The sequence below is a fragment of the Homo sapiens genome, chromosome 1 (genome assembly GCF_000001405.40).
Source record: "Homo sapiens chromosome 1, GRCh38.p14 Primary Assembly".
NCBI lineage: Eukaryota > Metazoa > Chordata > Mammalia > Primates > Hominidae > Homo > Homo sapiens.
This window is the reverse complement of record NC_000001.11, coordinates 109,465,014-109,482,401: the sequence shown is the minus strand read 5'-3', so window position 1 is coordinate 109,482,401 and position 17,388 is coordinate 109,465,014. Positions and strand designations below refer to the sequence as shown.

Sequence of the window (17,388 nt, the reverse complement as noted above, 5' to 3'; positions counted from 1 at the left end):
GTTTGCTCCAGAATTGCTAATGAGTCCCAGTTACTTTGGTCTAATTGGGTGCCACCAAAAGAGGAGATGTCACTAGACCAGAGCCTGCTAGGAATAACTGCTCTCCTCTCTGCACCCCAAGCAACAGAGTCTGACTTTGTTGCTTGGGGTGCACAGTGGAAAGCAGTAGAATGATATCTTGGTGAAAGTCCTGATATTGGTTCAAGAACTTAAAGCAAGGGAGAGGAAGAAAAAATAAATCCCCGGAAGGACTCCAGTCTCAGATCCTTCATGGCAAGTACTTGCAGCACTGTTTATTCAAATATATAATAACAAGCACCAGAAAACAACATGCAACATTCTCCCCCCACCCCTGATCTGCAATCCCAGAAGTAGGAGGCTCATGACTATGATAGTGAAGGAAACTCATGTCCAGGAAAGGTCCTAGGTGGGCACCCTGGTGCTGGGTTAGAGTCTAGTGGGACAAAGGGCAAGTACCCTGCCCATTAGCCTCCTACAGCAGCTGGAGAAACCAGACACCTTCTTCTACCTCAGGCCCCACTTTGCAAAGCAGTGATGCCAGCCCTGGTTGGAGAGAACATGAGTCCTATGAGGCACTTGGCCCTGCCCAGCCCTCTGGAGGTAATGAGGTGAAGTAGCCTTTCCTCTTAGGGTGGCCATAGAGAGTGAGGCCGTAGCCTAAATCAAGGCTCTCCTGATGGAGAACAAGAGAGCCTCTTGAGAAGAAAGAGAACGAGGCTTCCTTGCTCTAAAGAGAGTCCTGGGCTGGGAGTCCTTGGCAGGAGTGAATATAATCTCCCCCCACCCCCTGCCCGCAACTGCTTTCCCTAGCTGAAGGCCCAGTTGCTAACTTCAGCCCCCAAATGAGAACACTACCCAGCACATTTCAAATAAATTATAAATACAGACACAGAATCCAAACAAAGATCCAGTAGAAGCTGCTCACAGACCCCCACAGAGGCCGGCTTGAAGAAAAATGAAGGTCACCCCTTTGTTCTCTGTGTCTCTGGAGCTGTAGGCAAAACTGTCCCCCCTTGTCCTTGAGTAACCATGGGGACAGCTCATGACAGAGAGTTTCAGACTTAAAAACCCTCTCACCCCATCTCCTTTCTTTCCTCCTCAAATCTCTTCCCCAAAATCTTAAACAAACAAACAAAAACTAATTCTTTCACTGAGGGACTCAAGCATTTGGGGATGTAAATCTCACCCTTTCCCCATCGGGAGGAAATGACTGGCCTGAAGTCAAAAGTCCTGACTCCTAGGTACCCCAGTAATGCACATGTTACTATGGATGGTGTTTAGAGAGGTGAGGAGGTTGAAGGGGGTTGACTCAGTCCTGAGGAGAGATTGGCACAGGGCACATTCACCTTTAGGATGCTTAGTGGGCCAATTGGCACTGGATTGGAAAGTGGTCGGATTCTTCCCTCTTCTTCCTTCCCTGGGAAGCCCTATGGCCAGGGCAGATTGAGCTGGGTAGGAAGCAAATGATCCTTACCCAGTTAACACTGATTCTCAGCCTTGGGGCCCAGAGAGGGACTGAAGGAGGTATCAGGAAGAGGATATACACTAAAGACAAATATGGAACTGGGTCCCAAAGTGAAGAAGCACCAATAGCATCGGCCTGCCCTGGACTTGAGAGGGGATAGAGACTGGGAGAAATAAGGACACAGGGGAGAAATGGGACAGCAAGGGAAGAGGGAACATCCTGTTTTCAAGATGAGAAGGAGAAATATGAAAGAAGGACTAGAGAAGGAGCAGGGGAAAAAACTGAGCAGGGAATAAGGAAAAAATGGGCCCATCCATCCTGGGGCTCTGGGGCAACTTAGCCTCATGATGGTCCTTTGGCCCTTCCTAAGCCCCTGTCTGGCCCCACAGGAATAAAAGGAAGGCCTGGACAGACTTCAAAAAGGATCTCAAATGCCTCAGATGCACGATGCTGGGGAAGGGAGATGGACAGAGAAGTAAGGGGATTAGGAGGCAGGTCCTGACTCCACATTTTTGAGTCCCAAGTGTGAGACCAAGAAGGAGGACAGGGAGGAAGATAGGGCGTTTCTAAAGTAGAGTTTAGAGTGTTGGTGGAAAGTGCCCCAGCCTGGTGGGTGGGAGGATTGAGGGGATAGAAGAAATTGATTCTGCCAGCAAGCTTACTGGCTTTACTTTCTTGAAGCTGCAACTCAGTTGCAATTTATCTTGCTCCCAGCTGAGTCCAGGAAGGCCTCATCAGGACCCTCTGAAGGGCTGTTTTCTAGGCTGGTGGACCTCTCTGGTTCACACATGGTGGATTCTGTGGGCAGGCAGAGGCCAGAGAAGACAGTGGAAGGCACACTGAGTCATGGGATGACTGGAGATCAGACGCAGGGACTAGATGACAGCCACTGAGGAGGGGTCGCCAAACCACTATTGGGGCCTCCACACAAGGGACCAGAGGGGAAGGCTACTAGCTGATTTCCCTTCCCCCTAATATTGTTGAAGCCGGACAGGTTGACAGAAAGGTGGCTGCTAGGAACCAGTCTCAGAGCACTGGTTTCCTGCCCCCAACCCTCACCTGCAGCAGAGGCTGGTTCTCAGAGACTGTAAGGGTACAAGTAAGACCCCAAGTAAGATACCTGGGTCCAGGCACTGCACAAGAAGCACTGAGCTCCTGCCATTCATGGCTCCAGCAAGAAGGAGGATAGGAAGCCACTGAGAGGGCTGCCCAGGTTTCCAACAGCTGATGCCTGCCCATCGTCTCAAAGCTCAAAGACCAGAATGATGGGGGAGGGGAATTGGAGGAGGAGGAAGAGAAAGGTCCTGGAAGCCGGAGGTGGTTGAAGAGGTGCTGTCCAGTTCGGGAATAGCCAGGTGGGGGGCTGCTTACTGCTTCTCCACTGCTCCCTGCTCAGCTGCACTCTCCTGGCTGGGACCCTGGCCCTGGTCCTGGTCCTGGTCCTGGTCCTGGCCCTGGCCCTGTCCATGCCACGGGGTCTCCTTGAACACAAACCAACAGTTCCCGGCCCACAGGAAGAAGTTGATAAAGCCAAAGAGCTGCAAAGACATCAGGGGAATTTGTGAGAATAGTCAGGGGGTCATTGTGGGAACAGGGAGGGGGAGTTCCTATTGCAGTTGGGGTTGGGGCTTGTGCAGGGAAGAAGCACAGAGGACTAGAAAGACTAAGACAGAGAGCTCGGTATAGAGGCAGGGCTCAGGACCATCAACTGTTTAGGGGAATCCCAGGTGAAAGTGTCTAATTCTGTCCACACCATGCACCCAAGCTGTAGCTTGGTCACTAGCAGAATCTGACCCTTTAGAGGAGCATCGTGCAAAGCATAGCAAGGAGCCAAGCAAAAGTCAGCCCTGGGGCGCCTCCCACAGCACGCGTGAGGCCCTGTTCGGAGCACCTTCCGCCAGGTAGGTGTGGCAGGAGCTGTCCAAGGTGCTCCTTCCCTGTGATCAGGCACCTAGCCAGGGCTATGTTCAAATAGTTATTCAACATATTTTAAAAACCTCACAGCAGGAAGTACTTAGAGGGAAGTGTACTGATGTCCCAAATTATCTTTGAAATGCACTAAAAACAAGACGGATTGATGGATGAAGAAGTGAATAAATATGTGATAAAGCAAGTCTAGTAAAAAGTTAATGGCACAGTCTAGGTGGTGAGTGCATGGGTATTCACTGTAAAATTCTTTCAACTTTGTTGTACCTGTGAACATTTCTACAATAAAATTTTTTTGGGGGGGAACCATAAGCAGGGTTCCAGCAAGTTCCAGACGTGTGTTCCTGGTGTGCCAGCCATTAAACATTTCAGATGTGGGAACAAGTCATTTTCAGAGCAGGGCTGAGGTGGCTGGGATGACGGGCAGCATTTGAGAAGCTCAAGACCTCAGCTCTTTACCAATGGATATGGACATATTTCAACATTCTAACAACTGGGATGGCCAAATCCATATGCATCCAGCAGACCCACTACTGCTCCAAAGCCCCTTTCCAGGCTGGAGGGCTGAGTGACAGTAAGCCCCTTCCCACTCATGCTGGGTCTGCTCGCAGCTTCAAGCTCAGCCACAGCCCCAGGCTCCCCTTTATGTGTTCACACACATTGTGTAGAACAGGCAGGAGGAGGGGAGACATCACAGAGAGCGTGCCTAGAGGTGGGGAAATGAGAAGGGAATTGGAGGCAGAGTGCAGAAGGAGGAAGGAACAGAAGGCTAAGTGGCTTTTGGGTTCCCCTCATCCCAAAATGTCCTCTCAGGGTCAGCCAGGAGCCAGCAGCCAGCATGAAGCGCAGTGAGGGCACCAGCTCCAGGTGCAGGGGACACCAGCTCTGGGACACCCTCTCTTTCCTTTCAGGACCTGCTAGCTGGGACAGGCCTGGGCAGCAGGGCTGGTGCTGCTTCCTGCAGTGGCCACAGGTCTCACCACGGAGATGTTGGCCAGGCCCATAGAGGGCGTGGCCCCGGCACTGCACACTGCTTCCTCTCCATGGCACACTGACATGGCTGCTGTCAAGCTGGATGGTCGTGTGGCCCCCTTGACATCGGTCAGGCCCTTGCCCCAGGCAGCTGCAGCTACCAGCCAGAAGAAGGTGAAGGAGACAGTCACACAGAAGTCCTGGGAGGAGCAGAGGGATGGGAAATACACTCAGAAAGGCCCCATGATTCCCTTGCTTCTTTTCCACTTGCCATGATACTGGCAATCCCAGGGTGCCAGGACAGTTGCCTCTTCCCATCCTACCCAACACCTAGAACCCAGGTGGTCCTGAGGCATCTGTTCACTGCCCCCAAAGGAGTCCTGCCACTCAGGCTAGCCCTGCTAATGCCCTCAGATCTAAGATCTGGCAACAGTGTACCAAGGCATCGTTGGTCAGCCTCACCCCAAAACCCACTCATCCCAAGTGGAGCCTAAATTCCCCACTCTTCCCTCCCAGCTTTTTCTTTGATCACCATTGCTCAGATACAAGTGGCAGACTGCAGGACGCAAATGGGGTCCCTTAAGGCACCCCTTCCGCCTTGCATGCCTGGGATAGGAAGAGAGTAAAGAGGAATAATATTAATAATCGCTAATGCTTATTGAGACTAACTATGTACTAGATACATGCATTCTCATTTTTTCACATACACACACAAAACTATGAAGCAGGTATTATTTTATCCCCATTTTATAGTTAAGGAAACTGCGATTTAGAGAGGTTATTTAACTTGTCCGAGATCACACAGCAAGTAAGGGGCCATGCTGGGATCTGAACCCAGGCAGTCTAACTCCAGAGCCTGCTTGTGTATGGTGCTATTGTGCCTCCTGTGAACAGGAGCAAGCAACGGGAGGTTGATGGAGGCAGAGGTTCCACCATGGGGGTGGAAGCCGCCATGCTTGTCCTCTGCTCCAGTTCTGACCTCAACCCCCTCACAAACATCTGTTTCTCCACCCCATTCCTTCTGGCCTGTGCTGACTCACCACCAGCGGGAAGCGTTTGTTCTCTGTGTAGAGGTTGTGGAAGCGCAGGTAGATAACTAGGGCAGCCATGGTATAGAAGAAGGAAAAGATGCCAAGGGTCACGAAGAACTCGGCGGGTGCAGAGAAGTCCCCCATGAGGTGCATGGTCTTGGAGCTGGACTCTTCATCGCAGAGGGGCATCTCATATTGGATCCGGTGCAACCTGCAGGTGGCAGGGGAGGCCATCCTGAGCTCAGGCAATCCTCTCTCTCCCTGGCCCAGAAGTAGTCCTGTGCTAGTTCTCAGCAGGGGACTCTTACAGAGCCAAGAAAGGGGTCATGTAAGGAGGCAAGTTTCTGGAAGGAACCTTGCAGTTAAGATGGGAACTCCCCCGAAATTTCCAGTAAAACTCTACCTTCCCCTCAGCTGCTCCCCAACCCACCCCACTCATCTACCCTGCCCAGACATGGTGACCATGTATTCCCAAGTGTCTCCAGGGCCCTTTAGGTCACAACTGCAATATATGTAGTTCTTCTCTTTCTGGTAGCCAAACCACTAGGCAGATCAGCTTCATTCTGCCTCTGGAAAGTGCAGGCCCAGAGTGGCCAAGATAAGGTTGGAATCACCCATTCTCAGGCTTTATTGGGCTTTCCAATGAGACAGTGGACAAATTAAAGAGAAAAACACAGCCTATTATATATGAGACAGTTAATATAACTTGGGTGCTGATACTAGAAATTTCTGAAAAGGTGAGCCTCATCCCCATTTTCCCCTGAACACCTGGGCTCCCTACTTCCTAAGCTCTCAAATACCCAGAAAAGAGATCACTTCTACCTCCCTGTCAAGGTGTGCCCACTTGTATCCTGGTCGTACTGGCTGAGGATCCCACATCAACTCTTTAGGATGTAAGTACTAATAAGCTTCCCTACCTTCAAGGCAGAGAGGAGGCTACTGAGGGTCAGAGAGACCTGTCCAGCTTGTCCAGGTTCCTGTAAGCCTCCATCCCAAACTGCATTGGCTCTTTCTGTATGAGCTGGTGTGACCTGCCATGGGTTGTCCATGGACTGGAACATTATTATAACAGTGATCAATCTGTATTTCCCTTACGTTTTGCTCTGGTCAATGTGTCTGAAATTGCTAAAAAGCAGAAAGGATCTAAGTTTTGTCATTCTATTTGAATCTGGAGTGGCACGCAATGAATGGTTTTTAGGTTTCTGGAGGAGGAAGAGACCAAGCAGGTCCTGCCAGTCAAGTGAGAGATGATGTGCTGGGTTGGAACCAATTCTTGCTCACCTGAAGGGATAGCCAAATGCAACGATGATGGAGCTCACGTCCTTGGCTTCGTTGTTGCAGCGAACCATTGCTCCTGTCTCCCCGCTGTAGGAGCCACAGGACCCGAAGGCGAAAATAGCAAAGAGCTGAGAGAGAGTGAAGCCTCTTTGAGAGTCAGAAGGCCTCAACTGGCCAAAGTCGAGAACTAACCGTGACTCCCCGCAGGTGCAGACATTAAGTGCGGGAGTGGGGGAGAGTGAGGATCCCCTTTAATCAAGTTCTTCCTAGGTAGAAACCCATGGCTTCCATTTATCTTCCAGCCTCAGGCTGCTGGACCAAATAGCCAAATGAATACAAGGTTGACTGAGTGGTGTCTGCAAGGGAGATGAAGAGGCAGGAAATGGACAGTTGCCAGATCTCTCCATTGGGCATGACTTGGGGACCACAGGTAGCCTCCTTAAGATGACTAACACAAAACCTCTGCAATTCAGGCTTTAGGAAACTTCTAGCTTACAGATAGACTTGAATTTCCTTCCCAAGGGAGAGACACACTCAAAAAGATTCCCCTGCATCAACCTAGATCAGACATGCCTAGAACGCTTTTCATTTCTCCTTTGAACTAGTCATCTAATCTTGTTTCCTAGTTGCTAACTTCCAGTGGCTTCCTGCCTTGGTGGAGGTATAGCTGGAGGGGCCAGCTTCTACCAAGCCACCCCAGATGGGCCATACTACTGTCCCATAGTACTGACAGCCTAATTCCTCTTCCCCAAAAGGCACATGGCCTTCTAGCAATAGTGCTGGCTGGGCCAATGTGACAATCTTGGCTCAAGCCCAGAGAAAAGTACCCTCCACTTGCCTTATCAGTCTCCACTGTTTCCCCACTGGTATTTCCCTTTGTCATCTGTTGATGCTGCCATTTCTCAGTGTTAAGATCCAGAGGTGTCTCAGGTCACTCGAATTGTTTTCTTCTCCACCTTTCCTCACATTTTACTACACCTTCTCTCTCAAGTGAAATAAAATTTCCTCATCCTATGATTTTCAGATTTCTTTCTGGGAAACACACTTTGGTTAGAAAAGGAGGTGAGAGGCCAGGTGCGGTGGCTCACACCTGTAATCCCAGCACTTTGGGAGGCTGAGGCGGGTGGATCATTTGAGGTCAGGAGTTTGAGACCAACCTGGCCAACATGGTGAAACCCCATATCTACTAAAAATACAAAAATCAGCCTGGCGGTAGAGTGTCGCATGCCTGTAATCTCAGCTACTTGGGAGGCTGAGGCAGGAGAATCACTTGAACCCGGGAGGCGGAGGTTGCAGTGAGCCGAGATCGTGCCACTGCACTCCAGCCTGGCAACAGAATGAGACCTTGTCCCTCTCCCGCCCACCGCCAAAAAAAAAAAAAAAAAGAAAAGAAAAGAAAAGAAAAAAGAAAAGGAGGTGAGAAATTGAAATGTCTTATCCTCCACATCATCTGCTCAGATTGGATTTCCTGTGCACTTACCTTTGACTTGTACACAATGTCATGTTCTTATTAAGCAATGAGCTTATTCTCTTAATTGTTCACTCTCTGTATCTTTCTTCGAGACTCAGTGTCTTGGACATTAAGCACTTGGAAGACAGCTGATCTGTATGTCAGCCCTGCATCCAGAGTCTAGAATAGAAGCTATATGCACTTTATTTTGCCAATGCTTGTTAGCATTATGGAGTGAAAGGAGACCTGAACTAGGAGTATGGAAACCTAGGTTCCAGACCTGGTCCTGTCACTAATTAGCCAGGTGAGCTCTGATAAGTCACTCTGCTCTCTGAGTCTGTTTCCTCATCTTTTTTTTTTTTTTTAGATGGAGTCTTGCTCTGTCGCCCAGGCTGGAGTGTAGTGGCGCAATCTTGGCTCACTGCAAGCTGCACCTCCTGCGTTCACACCATTCTCCTGCCTCAGCCTGTTGAGTAGCTGGGACTATAGGCGCCCACCACCATGCCCAGCTAATTTTTTGTATTTTTTTTAGTAGAGACGGGTTTTCACCGTGTTAGCCAGGATGGTCTCGGTCTCCTGACCTTGTGATCCGCCCGCCTCAACCTCCCAAAGTGCTGGGATTATAGGCATGAGCCCAGCCTGTTTCCTCATCTTAAATGGAGGGGTTTGGAGTAGATAATCTAGAGGCCCTTTCCAGCCCTGGAACTCTCTCACTCTCTGAGAGTAACACTGTCAGTGTACTCTTGACTGGGCTTGCCAACAGCTGTGCTTTGCCCCTGCGAGGTGTCCAGTGCCACTGCCCCCGGCTTGCAGCGCCTGGCCTTGCAGATCTCCATGCTGGAGCCATTGGCCTCTCTCCAAATAATGGGCACCTCTCTGTTTTCAGGAGGTTTATTCCAGACAAATGAGAATTGTCTCCATGTTTAAAGATATCTGGGAAAGAAGACAGTAAAACCTCCCTCCAATGCCTAAATACCCTCCTCTCCTGAATTAAATGATGAAGACTGCAGTAGAGCCCTGTCTGCCCGCCTTCTTCACAGAGGTAGAGAAGAGTCACTCGAAGCCTCTGCATCATTACCCTTTACTTACTCAAAGTGGCCTCACCATTGTAATAGTGGAACTTCTCTAACTCTTCCTCATAGGAATTCGCTAATCTTTTGTCAGTTCTGTGGCCATCTGATTCCTCTTAGAAGTTTCTTTATTCCTCTTAGCTTCTGGTGCCCAGAACTGGATGTGATTAGGGTGTCACATTCTGGGAAGGGCAGCACAGTTGGAAATATTTTTACCCGTTGGCAGTTAGTCAGTGAATGGCTCCTTATAGGTTCCTTAAGAAAGCAGGGGCCGGGCATGGTGGCTCACAGCTGTAATCCCAGCAGTTTGGGAGGCCAAGCAGGAGAATGGCTTGAGCCCAGGAATTTGAGACTAGCAACATATAGGCAACATAGCAAGACCCTCCCCTACAGAAACTACAAACAAAAAATTAGCTGGGCATGGTGGTGCCTGCTAATAGTCCCAGTTACTCAGGAGGCTGATGGGGAGGAATCACTTGAGCCCAGGAGTTCAAGGCTGCAGTGAGCTATGATCATGCCACTGCACTCCAGGCTGGGCAACAGAACAAGACCCCCATCTCAAAAAAAAAAAAAAAAAAAAAAAGTAAAGAAAAAGAAAGTAGGTACTCAAAACTTGGGGGCAGTGAACGGTCAGTTATGGAGCCTTCTCTTCACCAGCACTCTCCTGAAAGGCACTCCTGAGCATCTACAGAAAGATAAAATTTAAGAGCATGTACTATGCCTAGCATGTACAGTGCCTACTATGCATGGTTCCAGGCACTATTATCTAGTAGTGAACAAAAGAGAAAAAAGGCCAAGCATGGTGGTTCATGCCTGTAATCCCAGCACTCTGGGAGGCTGAGGTGGGAGGATCACTTGAGCCCAGGAGTTTGAGACTAGCCAACTTTTTATTTAGCCAAGAAAAATTAGCCAGGTGTGGTGATGCACATCTGTGGTCCCAGCTACTCTGGGGGCTGATGTGGGAAGATCTCTTGAGCCCAGGAGGTCAAAGCTACATGATCACACCACTGGACACCAGCCTGGGTGACAGAGCGAGACCCTATCTCAAAAAAAGAAAAAGAATAACAAAATCTCTGTCCTCATGGGGCTCATACTCTAGAGCTGCACTATCCAAAACAGTAGCCCCTAGCCAAGCTTGATTATTTAAGTTTAAGTTAATCAGAATTAAATTAAATAAAAAATTCAAGCCGGGTGCAGTGTCTCAGACCTGTAATCCCAACACTTTGGGAAGCAAGGTGGGAGGATCACTTGAGGCCAGGAGTTCAAGACCAGCCTGGGTATCATAGCAAGACTCCATCTCTACCAAAAAAAAAAAGTAGTCGGGCATGGTGGTACATGCCTGTAGTCCCAGCTGCTGAAGTGTGTGGATCACTTGAGCCCAGGGGTTCAAGGCTGCAATGAGCTATGATCACGCCACTGCACTCCAGCCTGGATGACAGAGTGAGACTGGATCAAACAACAACAAAAAAGTTCAGGCCGGGTGTGGTGGCTCATGCCTGTAATCCCAGCACTTTAGGAGGCCAAGGCGGGCAAATCACTTGAGGTCAGGGGTTCGAGACCAGCCTGGCCAACATGGCAAAATGCCGTCTCTACTAAAAAAAAAAAAATTCAGTTCAGTCACGCTAGGCACATTTCAAGTGCCCAATAGCCTCATGTGACTAGCAGGTACTATCTTAGAGAGCACCGATTCTAAAACTTTTCCATTATTACCAAAAGTTCTGCTGTGTCTAAACGACGGTCCTGAGGTTCTGACAATCCTGAATCATGCTTTCGGATTCCTCAGAGGGCAAAATACACCCACAATAACTTTAGTATTTATTGTATTCTGATTCTTTTCAAGTCAGGGATCTTACACGATGATTTTTTATTTACCAAAATATATGTTTAAATCTGAACACTATACAGTCGGATGGTACCAGAGCAAAATGAGAACATCTGAGGGGAATCACAGGTTCACAGAACAGCAGAACAAAAGGGACCTCAAAGATTCTCACACCCAATCATCTCATGTCACAGAGGGGGACTGTGAAGCCCCAAAAGATTAAGTCACTTTCCCAAAGTCACATTTAGTTAATGTGAGAGCCAGGCTTAGAATTCACATCTCCTGATTCCCTGTCCAGTGCTCTTTCCATTTCATTTGCTCATTAACTCAACACTGATTGAGCATCTACCTTGTGCCAGGTGCTGGAGATATGAAGACGAATAACACCTATCTCCTGCTCTTGAGAATTCACATCAAGAAAGGAGCGTCATAGCAAAACAAACAAACAAAAAATAATAAAAACAAACACTGCATCCCAGAGTTATTGAGGCTAAAGAAGAGATCTCTACCATGTGCATTGAGGATTACAAGGAGGGAAGGAGTAGCTCTGTGCCTTGGGGTGCAGAAGCTCAGAAAGACACTTTCTCCCAACCCCCTCCATGTCTCCTAACCCTCCATCTTTCCACTCCAGATTTGCTTTCTTCCCTAACTTTGCCAAGTGACTGAGACACAGAGAAGAGAAGGAAAGAACTAAAATCACCCCTGTCACCAAGCACAAGGCTCTGAGATGAGCAAACTGGTTATAAAGAGCAGCCAAGGAGAGGTAGAGGACCTGAGACAAGGGGGAGTTCTAGCATTCTGGTGCCAACCAGCCTTTCTCCTCTTGGACCTCCATTGCTGGGACAGCGACGGTCATTTTCTGCCCTCCGCCTCCTCTTGCTTCTGCATCTCTTTTGCAACCTTAAACCTTTCCAGTTTAAGGATGAGGCTCCCCTTTGGCACTGACATGCTCGCTGGTGATAATCCTGTGACAGTCCTGAGGACACTAACATCACCAGTTAGCTCAGAGCACAAGGAAGACAAATTCTCTCCCCAGGTCCTACTCCCACGCTTATCTCATTGTTTTTTGTTTTGTTTAGGCGAGGTAACAGGCTCATGCCTGTAATCTCAGCACTTTTGGAGGCTGAGGTGGGAATATCACCTGAGCCCAGGAACTCAAAGCCAGCTGGGGCAGCATAGCAAGACCCGATTTTTACAAAAATTTTTTACAACTTAGCTAGGCATGGTGGCATGTGCCTTTGGTCCCAGATACTTGAAAGGCTGAGGTGGGAGGATTGCCTGAGCTTGGAAATTTAGGCTGCAGTGAGATGTGTTCGTACCACTGCACTCCAGCCTCAGCGATAGAGCCAGTCTCTATCTTAGAGCCTGTCTGAAAAAAAAAAAAGATTTGATATTTACTCACTCAAGGTTCCAGAGCTAGAAAGCAAGAAAGCAGAGGGGACTCAATTTAAACCGAAGCCTATCTGACCTCAAAAATCTGTCTCTATCTTCCTTTTTCTTTTGTTTTATTTTCCTTTTTTTTTTTTTTTTTTTTTTTTTGAGACAAGGTCTAGTTCTGTCACTCAGGCTGGAGTGCGCAGCTCATTGCAGCCTCGACCTCCTGGGCTCAATGATCCTCCAGCCTCAGCCTCCCAAGGAGCTGGGACCACAAGCATGTGTCATCACACCCAACTAATTTTATTTTTTAATAGAGACGCGACCTCCCCTTATTGCCCAGGCTTGTGTCAAACTCCTGGGCTCAAGCAATCCTCCCACCTCAGCCTCCCAAAGTGTGTCTTTTTCTTAAAAAGAAAATTTTTTTTAAGATACTTCTTTTCTTTTCTTTTTTATCTTGAACTCCTATGATTTGATGTCCTTTTCTTTTTTAAAAAAAAACTAGTTCTCCAATAATTGGTCTATGTCCAGGTTATTTTTGCTAGCTTAGTATAGACTTAGTGAGACTCCAGAATTGGAATTGAGGTGAGATTAGTTGATTTCTCAATTAAAAAAAAAAAAACTCTAAGATAAGCTCCTGACAAATAAAAGAATAACATTACTTTCTTTTCACAAAGATTCCAGTAAAATCTTTGCTTTTTGGTAATAATGACAACAAAAGTTCTCAATTACCATTACAATAACTGCAAGCTTTGTGTTTTCTTTTTTCCTTCTCCAATCAGGAGCATTTGATCCCTCCAAACAGGAAATGAGTGAAAAACTCAAATGACATTTCCACTGTCATTTCTGGTGCTAATGCCTGTTTACTTTTTATGTTACCTCATCTGCAGAGCTTCAAAGCAAGTGAAACTGGCGCCCTGAATTCAGGCTACCTGGGATGGCAATAAAAGCAAAGCACGTTTCTTTGTGATGCTACCCTGTGAATGAAATCTGAATTCAGAGTCTAGCCCAGGGCCCAGGTTTTAGCATTCTGAGAGAAAAGGGTCTCTGTTTTGCACAACCCCCTTTCTAAGTACTTGAAGATCATAAAAGTCTATCAGATCTTAATTCCTAGGTCATTAGTGCTGACCCCAAGACTGCATCATTTCCCTGGGCATTGCTTTGTACAGCCTTTACAGAAATGTTGTGGGTATTTGGAGTGCTGCGTGGAGGGAAGGATGGCAGGATTGAAGAAGGAAGCTTTTCAGAATCCCTCCAAGGGAGAGGAGTCCATGGTCTAATAACCTCATTGTTTCCCTTATCCTTTGACAGTCTGTCTCAAATTCTGTTGGATCCATTTGTCTAATTTAATGGTAAAATTGCTTATAATGGCTCTTCCAGTTCTGGATGCCAGTCACTCAGAGCCTTAATATCATTTTTATATGGCTCCCTCTGGCACTTGAGTGGTGGATCAGAACAGGGAAGGGGCCAAAGGCAAAAGAGCTCAATCAGCAATTGGTCTAACCACTCTTGAGGCAGTAAGAAAGGTGGAGAGTCCCCACCAGGTCCCAGAGTTTGCACTTGGGAGCTCCCAGGCTGGCCCGATAATCCCAAATGCACTTTTGCCCCTGGGTTCCAGATTTGATTATTCTCATCCAAACCATGATTTAAGAACTGGTGTCACAGTGCTAATTCTTGTCTCCAAAGCCCTGTAGAACTCAATCCTCCTCAGTATTAATGGTAACTTATTCCCTAGCTGAATTCTGTACTGAGAGCACATTAATTAAGTTATTCACACACCATTTGGTATGTGGATTGTCTAATTTAAAATCTCTTCTGCAATAGTGCACTAAATGCCCCCTACAAGTCTTTATGATTTGAGAAATTGACTGCACCTGTCCACATTCCTAATTTATACCCAGGAGGCCTTAGGCACTGGCCTAGTGAAGCAAGATAGTATTTCCACTAGACTGTAACAGGGGAAACTGAGGACCTGAGCAAGTGACTTTTTCAAGGTCACAAAGTAAGTCTAACCTAGGGCCATATTCTGGCACACCAAACTATTTAGAGCATAAGGAGACCCTAGGAAGGTTCTGATCAACATCTAACTAGTGTTGGAAATTGAAGTCCAGAGAAATGAATTGCCCAAGGTGACATAGCTGGAAAAGGCCAGTCTAGGTCTGGATCCCAGGGCCCCAGCTTCTCAGATCAGTGTTCCATTTTATTCTACATGCCACATTTTAGCCATGCCGTGATTTTTATTCTTATTTTTTTCTTTTATTTAATCATAGAACCACAAGCTCCGTTCATTCATTCATCCACTCCCTCACTCATTTACAGGAACTCGGATTACTCCAGTGACCTCAAAAGGGAACGGCGAGCCGAGAGCCTGTCCCCTGAGCCCAGTACTTGCAGGATCATCCAGGCCCTGGTGGGTTTGGGGGCAGGACGGTTTCCATCGCCTGCTTCCTTCCCTCCTTTGCCCTCTGCGGCTTCCCTCTTGGTGAAGAGCGGACCTCGTCCCCGTCGTCCTTCTCCCCCCTCCCGTCACCAAGGAGTGGTATGTGCAGGATCAGAGTTCTGGAAAGGTTACACCCGGGTCCTCTCGCCCGGGTGAAATGTGAGCGCCCTGGGCAAAGGCTCCTTGCACATAGAAGGACCGAATCCGGGACTCCGCATGCCTCGCTCTTCACCCTCCTGCCACTAAGTCCGGAGAAGCAGCCCCAGCCCGCCCCTCCCCCGCCCACCTGTCGCCGCCCCCCACCCTTCCGCCGTGGCCCGGCCGCAGCACCTCCCCAGCCCCCACCCTGGCTCCATTGCTTCAGGTCAGCGTCACAGCCCAGGCTCCCGAAATAGCCCGGGGCCGGGGCAGCGACTCACCCACTGGAGAACTTTGATGAAGCCCAGCGGCTCCTCCAGCCGCCGCCAGCGCAGCCCCACGAGTAGGCGGTCCACCTGCGGAGACACAGCCGGCCGGGGGGTCAGGGCGGTGGGGAACCCTGGGAAGGCGCTGGTCCCCTTGCCCCACTCACACGCGGTCCAGGGGTGGGATAAGTGTGCAGCCCGACATCTAGGTGGAGAGGGGCGGGTGAGAGTCCTGGGCGCGCAGGGACTACCTGCTGGCGCGGCGACTTGTCCGCCGTGCGGCCGGCGCTCTCGGTCGAGGACATGCTGGCGCGGCGAGCGCTGGGCGCGGCGTGGTGGCTTGGCTCTCTGGCCGGGAGGCGGCGGACACGGCGGGGGAGCGGGGAGCTGCAGGTCCGGGGCAGAGCAGGCGAGCGGGGCCGGAGCGCGAGCGGCCGTCGGTGGGCCGGAGTCCAGTCTGGCTGGCTGGCTGGCTGGGACGCGGGGGCGCTGCTGTTCGTGCTCTCAGAGGCTGCGGCCGCCGCGGTGCCCCGCCGGCAGCAGAAAGCCCCCGACTCGGATTCAAACTTCTGTCAAACTCGCAGCGAACTTGGCCGCCGGGTCACGTGGCGTGCGCTCCCGAACCCTCCTCCCGCCCCCTCTGCTCCCTTTCTCCGCTCGCCGGGCACCTTAAAGGGACCAGAGGCCTCCGTGGTTAGTTCCGCCGCGGGGCGGGGGGGACTCCGGGTCCTCCTCGCCGAAGCCTCCGGGACCGGTCCCCACCGAGACACCGCGGCCGTCGGAAACCCTAGCCAGGCGCACCTGGACGCACAGGCTTCAGGTTTATCCTTCCCTATTTTCCTGGATTGCAAACTGCCCAGCGCCGGTTTTTCTCCTCTTCCATACCAGAATATCCAGAACGTAAAAGATTCTCAAAAGGCACGATCAGGGCTGTGAAACAAGGTTCTAAGCCTCACGATTAACATACCGCCAGTACCGACAAAAGGGCGATAGAATATAAGCTGCTGATTTTTTATCCTGTCTAGCTAGGTATTGTTTTGATTTTTTTTTAAAACAACAAAAGACATTTGTATGTTAGTGATTTAAAAGTTATTGGCCAGGCTTGGTGGCTCACGCCTGCAATCCCAGCACTTTGGGAGGCCGAGGCCAGAAGATCACGAGGTCAGGAGTTCGAGACCAGTCTGGCCAACATAGTGAAACCCCGTCTCTACTAAAAATACAAAAAATTAGCCGGGTGTGGTGATGTGCGCCTGTAATCCCAGCTACTCAGGAGGCTGAGGCAGGAGAATTGCTTGAACCCGGGAGGTGGAAGTTGCAGTGAGCCGAGATCGCGCCATTGCACTCCAGCCCTGGCGACAGTCCAAGACTCTGTCTCCAAAAAAAAAGTTATTAATCTTTAACAAGTAGAAACTTAATCTCCTTTAAAATGGTCATTACCATTTAAATGAGAGTGAAAAAAGGTCTTTGAGGAATGAGGCGCAAAGAATATATTGAAACGTACTGAAAAGTTGACGTCTGGCTAGGCGCGGTGGCTCAAGCCTGTAATCCCAGCACTTTGGGAGGCGGAGGCGGGTGTATCACTTGAAGCCAGGAGTTCGAGACCAGCCTGGCCAACATGGTGAAACCCTGTCTCTATTAAAAATACAAAAATTAGCAGGGCGTGGTGGCACGTGCCTGTACTCCTAGCTACTCCGAAGGGTAAGGCACGAGAATTACTTGAACCCGGGAGGCGGAGGTTGCAGTGAGCCGAGATTGCACCACTGCACTCCAGCCTGGACAACAGAGCAAGACTGTGTCAAAAAAAAGAAAAAAAGAAAAAGAAAAAAGGCAGACAGAAGTGGGGAGAGAGAGAGAGGAAAAAAAAAGAAAGAAAAAGAACGGGAAGGGAAGGGAAGAAGGGAAGGGAAGGGACTGGTTGGGTTGAAGTCGTTGCATTTTTTTAACTGTAACTTGGTCTCTAACTTTTGAAAAGCATTTGGCAGGGGTGAGCAGTTGAGAATATTCCACACTTGGTTTACGAGAGCATAAATATAAGTAGTAAAAGGTTAAGTGATTTGTCCAAGGACAAATTCCTGTGCACTGGCTTGTAAATATGTATCCGTCTCATCCAAGTCATTCCTGCAGGTCCGCCCCCC

At 49.2% G+C, this 17,388-nt stretch overlaps 1 protein-coding gene across 4 annotated transcripts, besides 3 other annotated features; it reads right to left on the bottom strand.

Moving 5' to 3' along the window:
• Positions 1-267: 267 nt before the first annotated feature.
• Positions 268-15,856, bottom strand: SYPL2 (synaptophysin like 2). 4 transcript variants are annotated; one of them, XM_011541283.3, is made up of 7 exons: positions 15,505-15,856; positions 15,269-15,343; positions 6,697-6,821; positions 5,425-5,626; positions 4,393-4,584; positions 2,858-3,024; positions 268-2,284 (listed from the first exon to the last, which is right to left on the bottom strand). In XM_011541283.3, exons 1-7 carry the CDS (start codon positions 15,556-15,558, stop codon positions 2,269-2,271), a joined length of 831 nt encoding a protein of 276 aa, XP_011539585.1. In that variant the 5' UTR covers positions 15,559-15,856; the 3' UTR covers positions 268-2,268. The 4 variants fall into 4 exon arrangements, with proteins under 4 accessions (XP_011539585.1, NP_001035799.1, XP_011539586.1 ...); NM_001040709.2 differs by having other exon boundaries at positions 268-3,024; XM_011541284.3 differs by lacking the exon at positions 4,393-4,584.
• Positions 4,350-4,869: an enhancer, noted in NCBI's record as "H3K4me1 hESC enhancer chr1:110020155-110020674 (GRCh37/hg19 assembly coordinates)". NCBI's record gives its function as "activates a minimal SCP1, AML or CMV promoter by ChIP-STARR-seq in naive H9 embryonic stem cells {active_cell/tissue: H9 hESC(naive)}" and the evidence as "EXISTENCE:reporter gene assay evidence [ECO:0000049][PMID:30033119]".
• Positions 15,424-15,923: an enhancer, noted in NCBI's record as "H3K4me1 hESC enhancer chr1:110009101-110009600 (GRCh37/hg19 assembly coordinates)". NCBI's record gives its function as "activates a minimal SCP1, AML or CMV promoter by ChIP-STARR-seq in naive H9 embryonic stem cells {active_cell/tissue: H9 hESC(naive)}" and the evidence as "EXISTENCE:reporter gene assay evidence [ECO:0000049][PMID:30033119]".
• Positions 15,924-16,425: an enhancer, noted in NCBI's record as "H3K4me1 hESC enhancer chr1:110008599-110009100 (GRCh37/hg19 assembly coordinates)". NCBI's record gives its function as "activates a minimal SCP1, AML or CMV promoter by ChIP-STARR-seq in naive H9 embryonic stem cells {active_cell/tissue: H9 hESC(naive)}" and the evidence as "EXISTENCE:reporter gene assay evidence [ECO:0000049][PMID:30033119]".

Excerpts from the sequence above, each read along its gene's own strand:
- SYPL2 (XM_011541283.3), bottom strand. The coding sequence starts at position 15,558 with ATGTCCTCGACCGAGAGCGCCGGCCGCACGGCGGACAAGTCGCCGCGC. Across the intron at positions 6,822-15,268 it reads TCATCAAAGTTCTCCAGTGG|CTCTTTGCTATTTTCGCCTT; the intron begins GTGAGTCGCTGC and ends ACTCTCTCTCAG. Across the intron at positions 5,627-6,696 it reads GCATTTGGCTATCCCTTCAG|GTTGCACCGGATCCAATATG; the intron begins GTGAGCAAGAAT and ends TGCCACCTGCAG.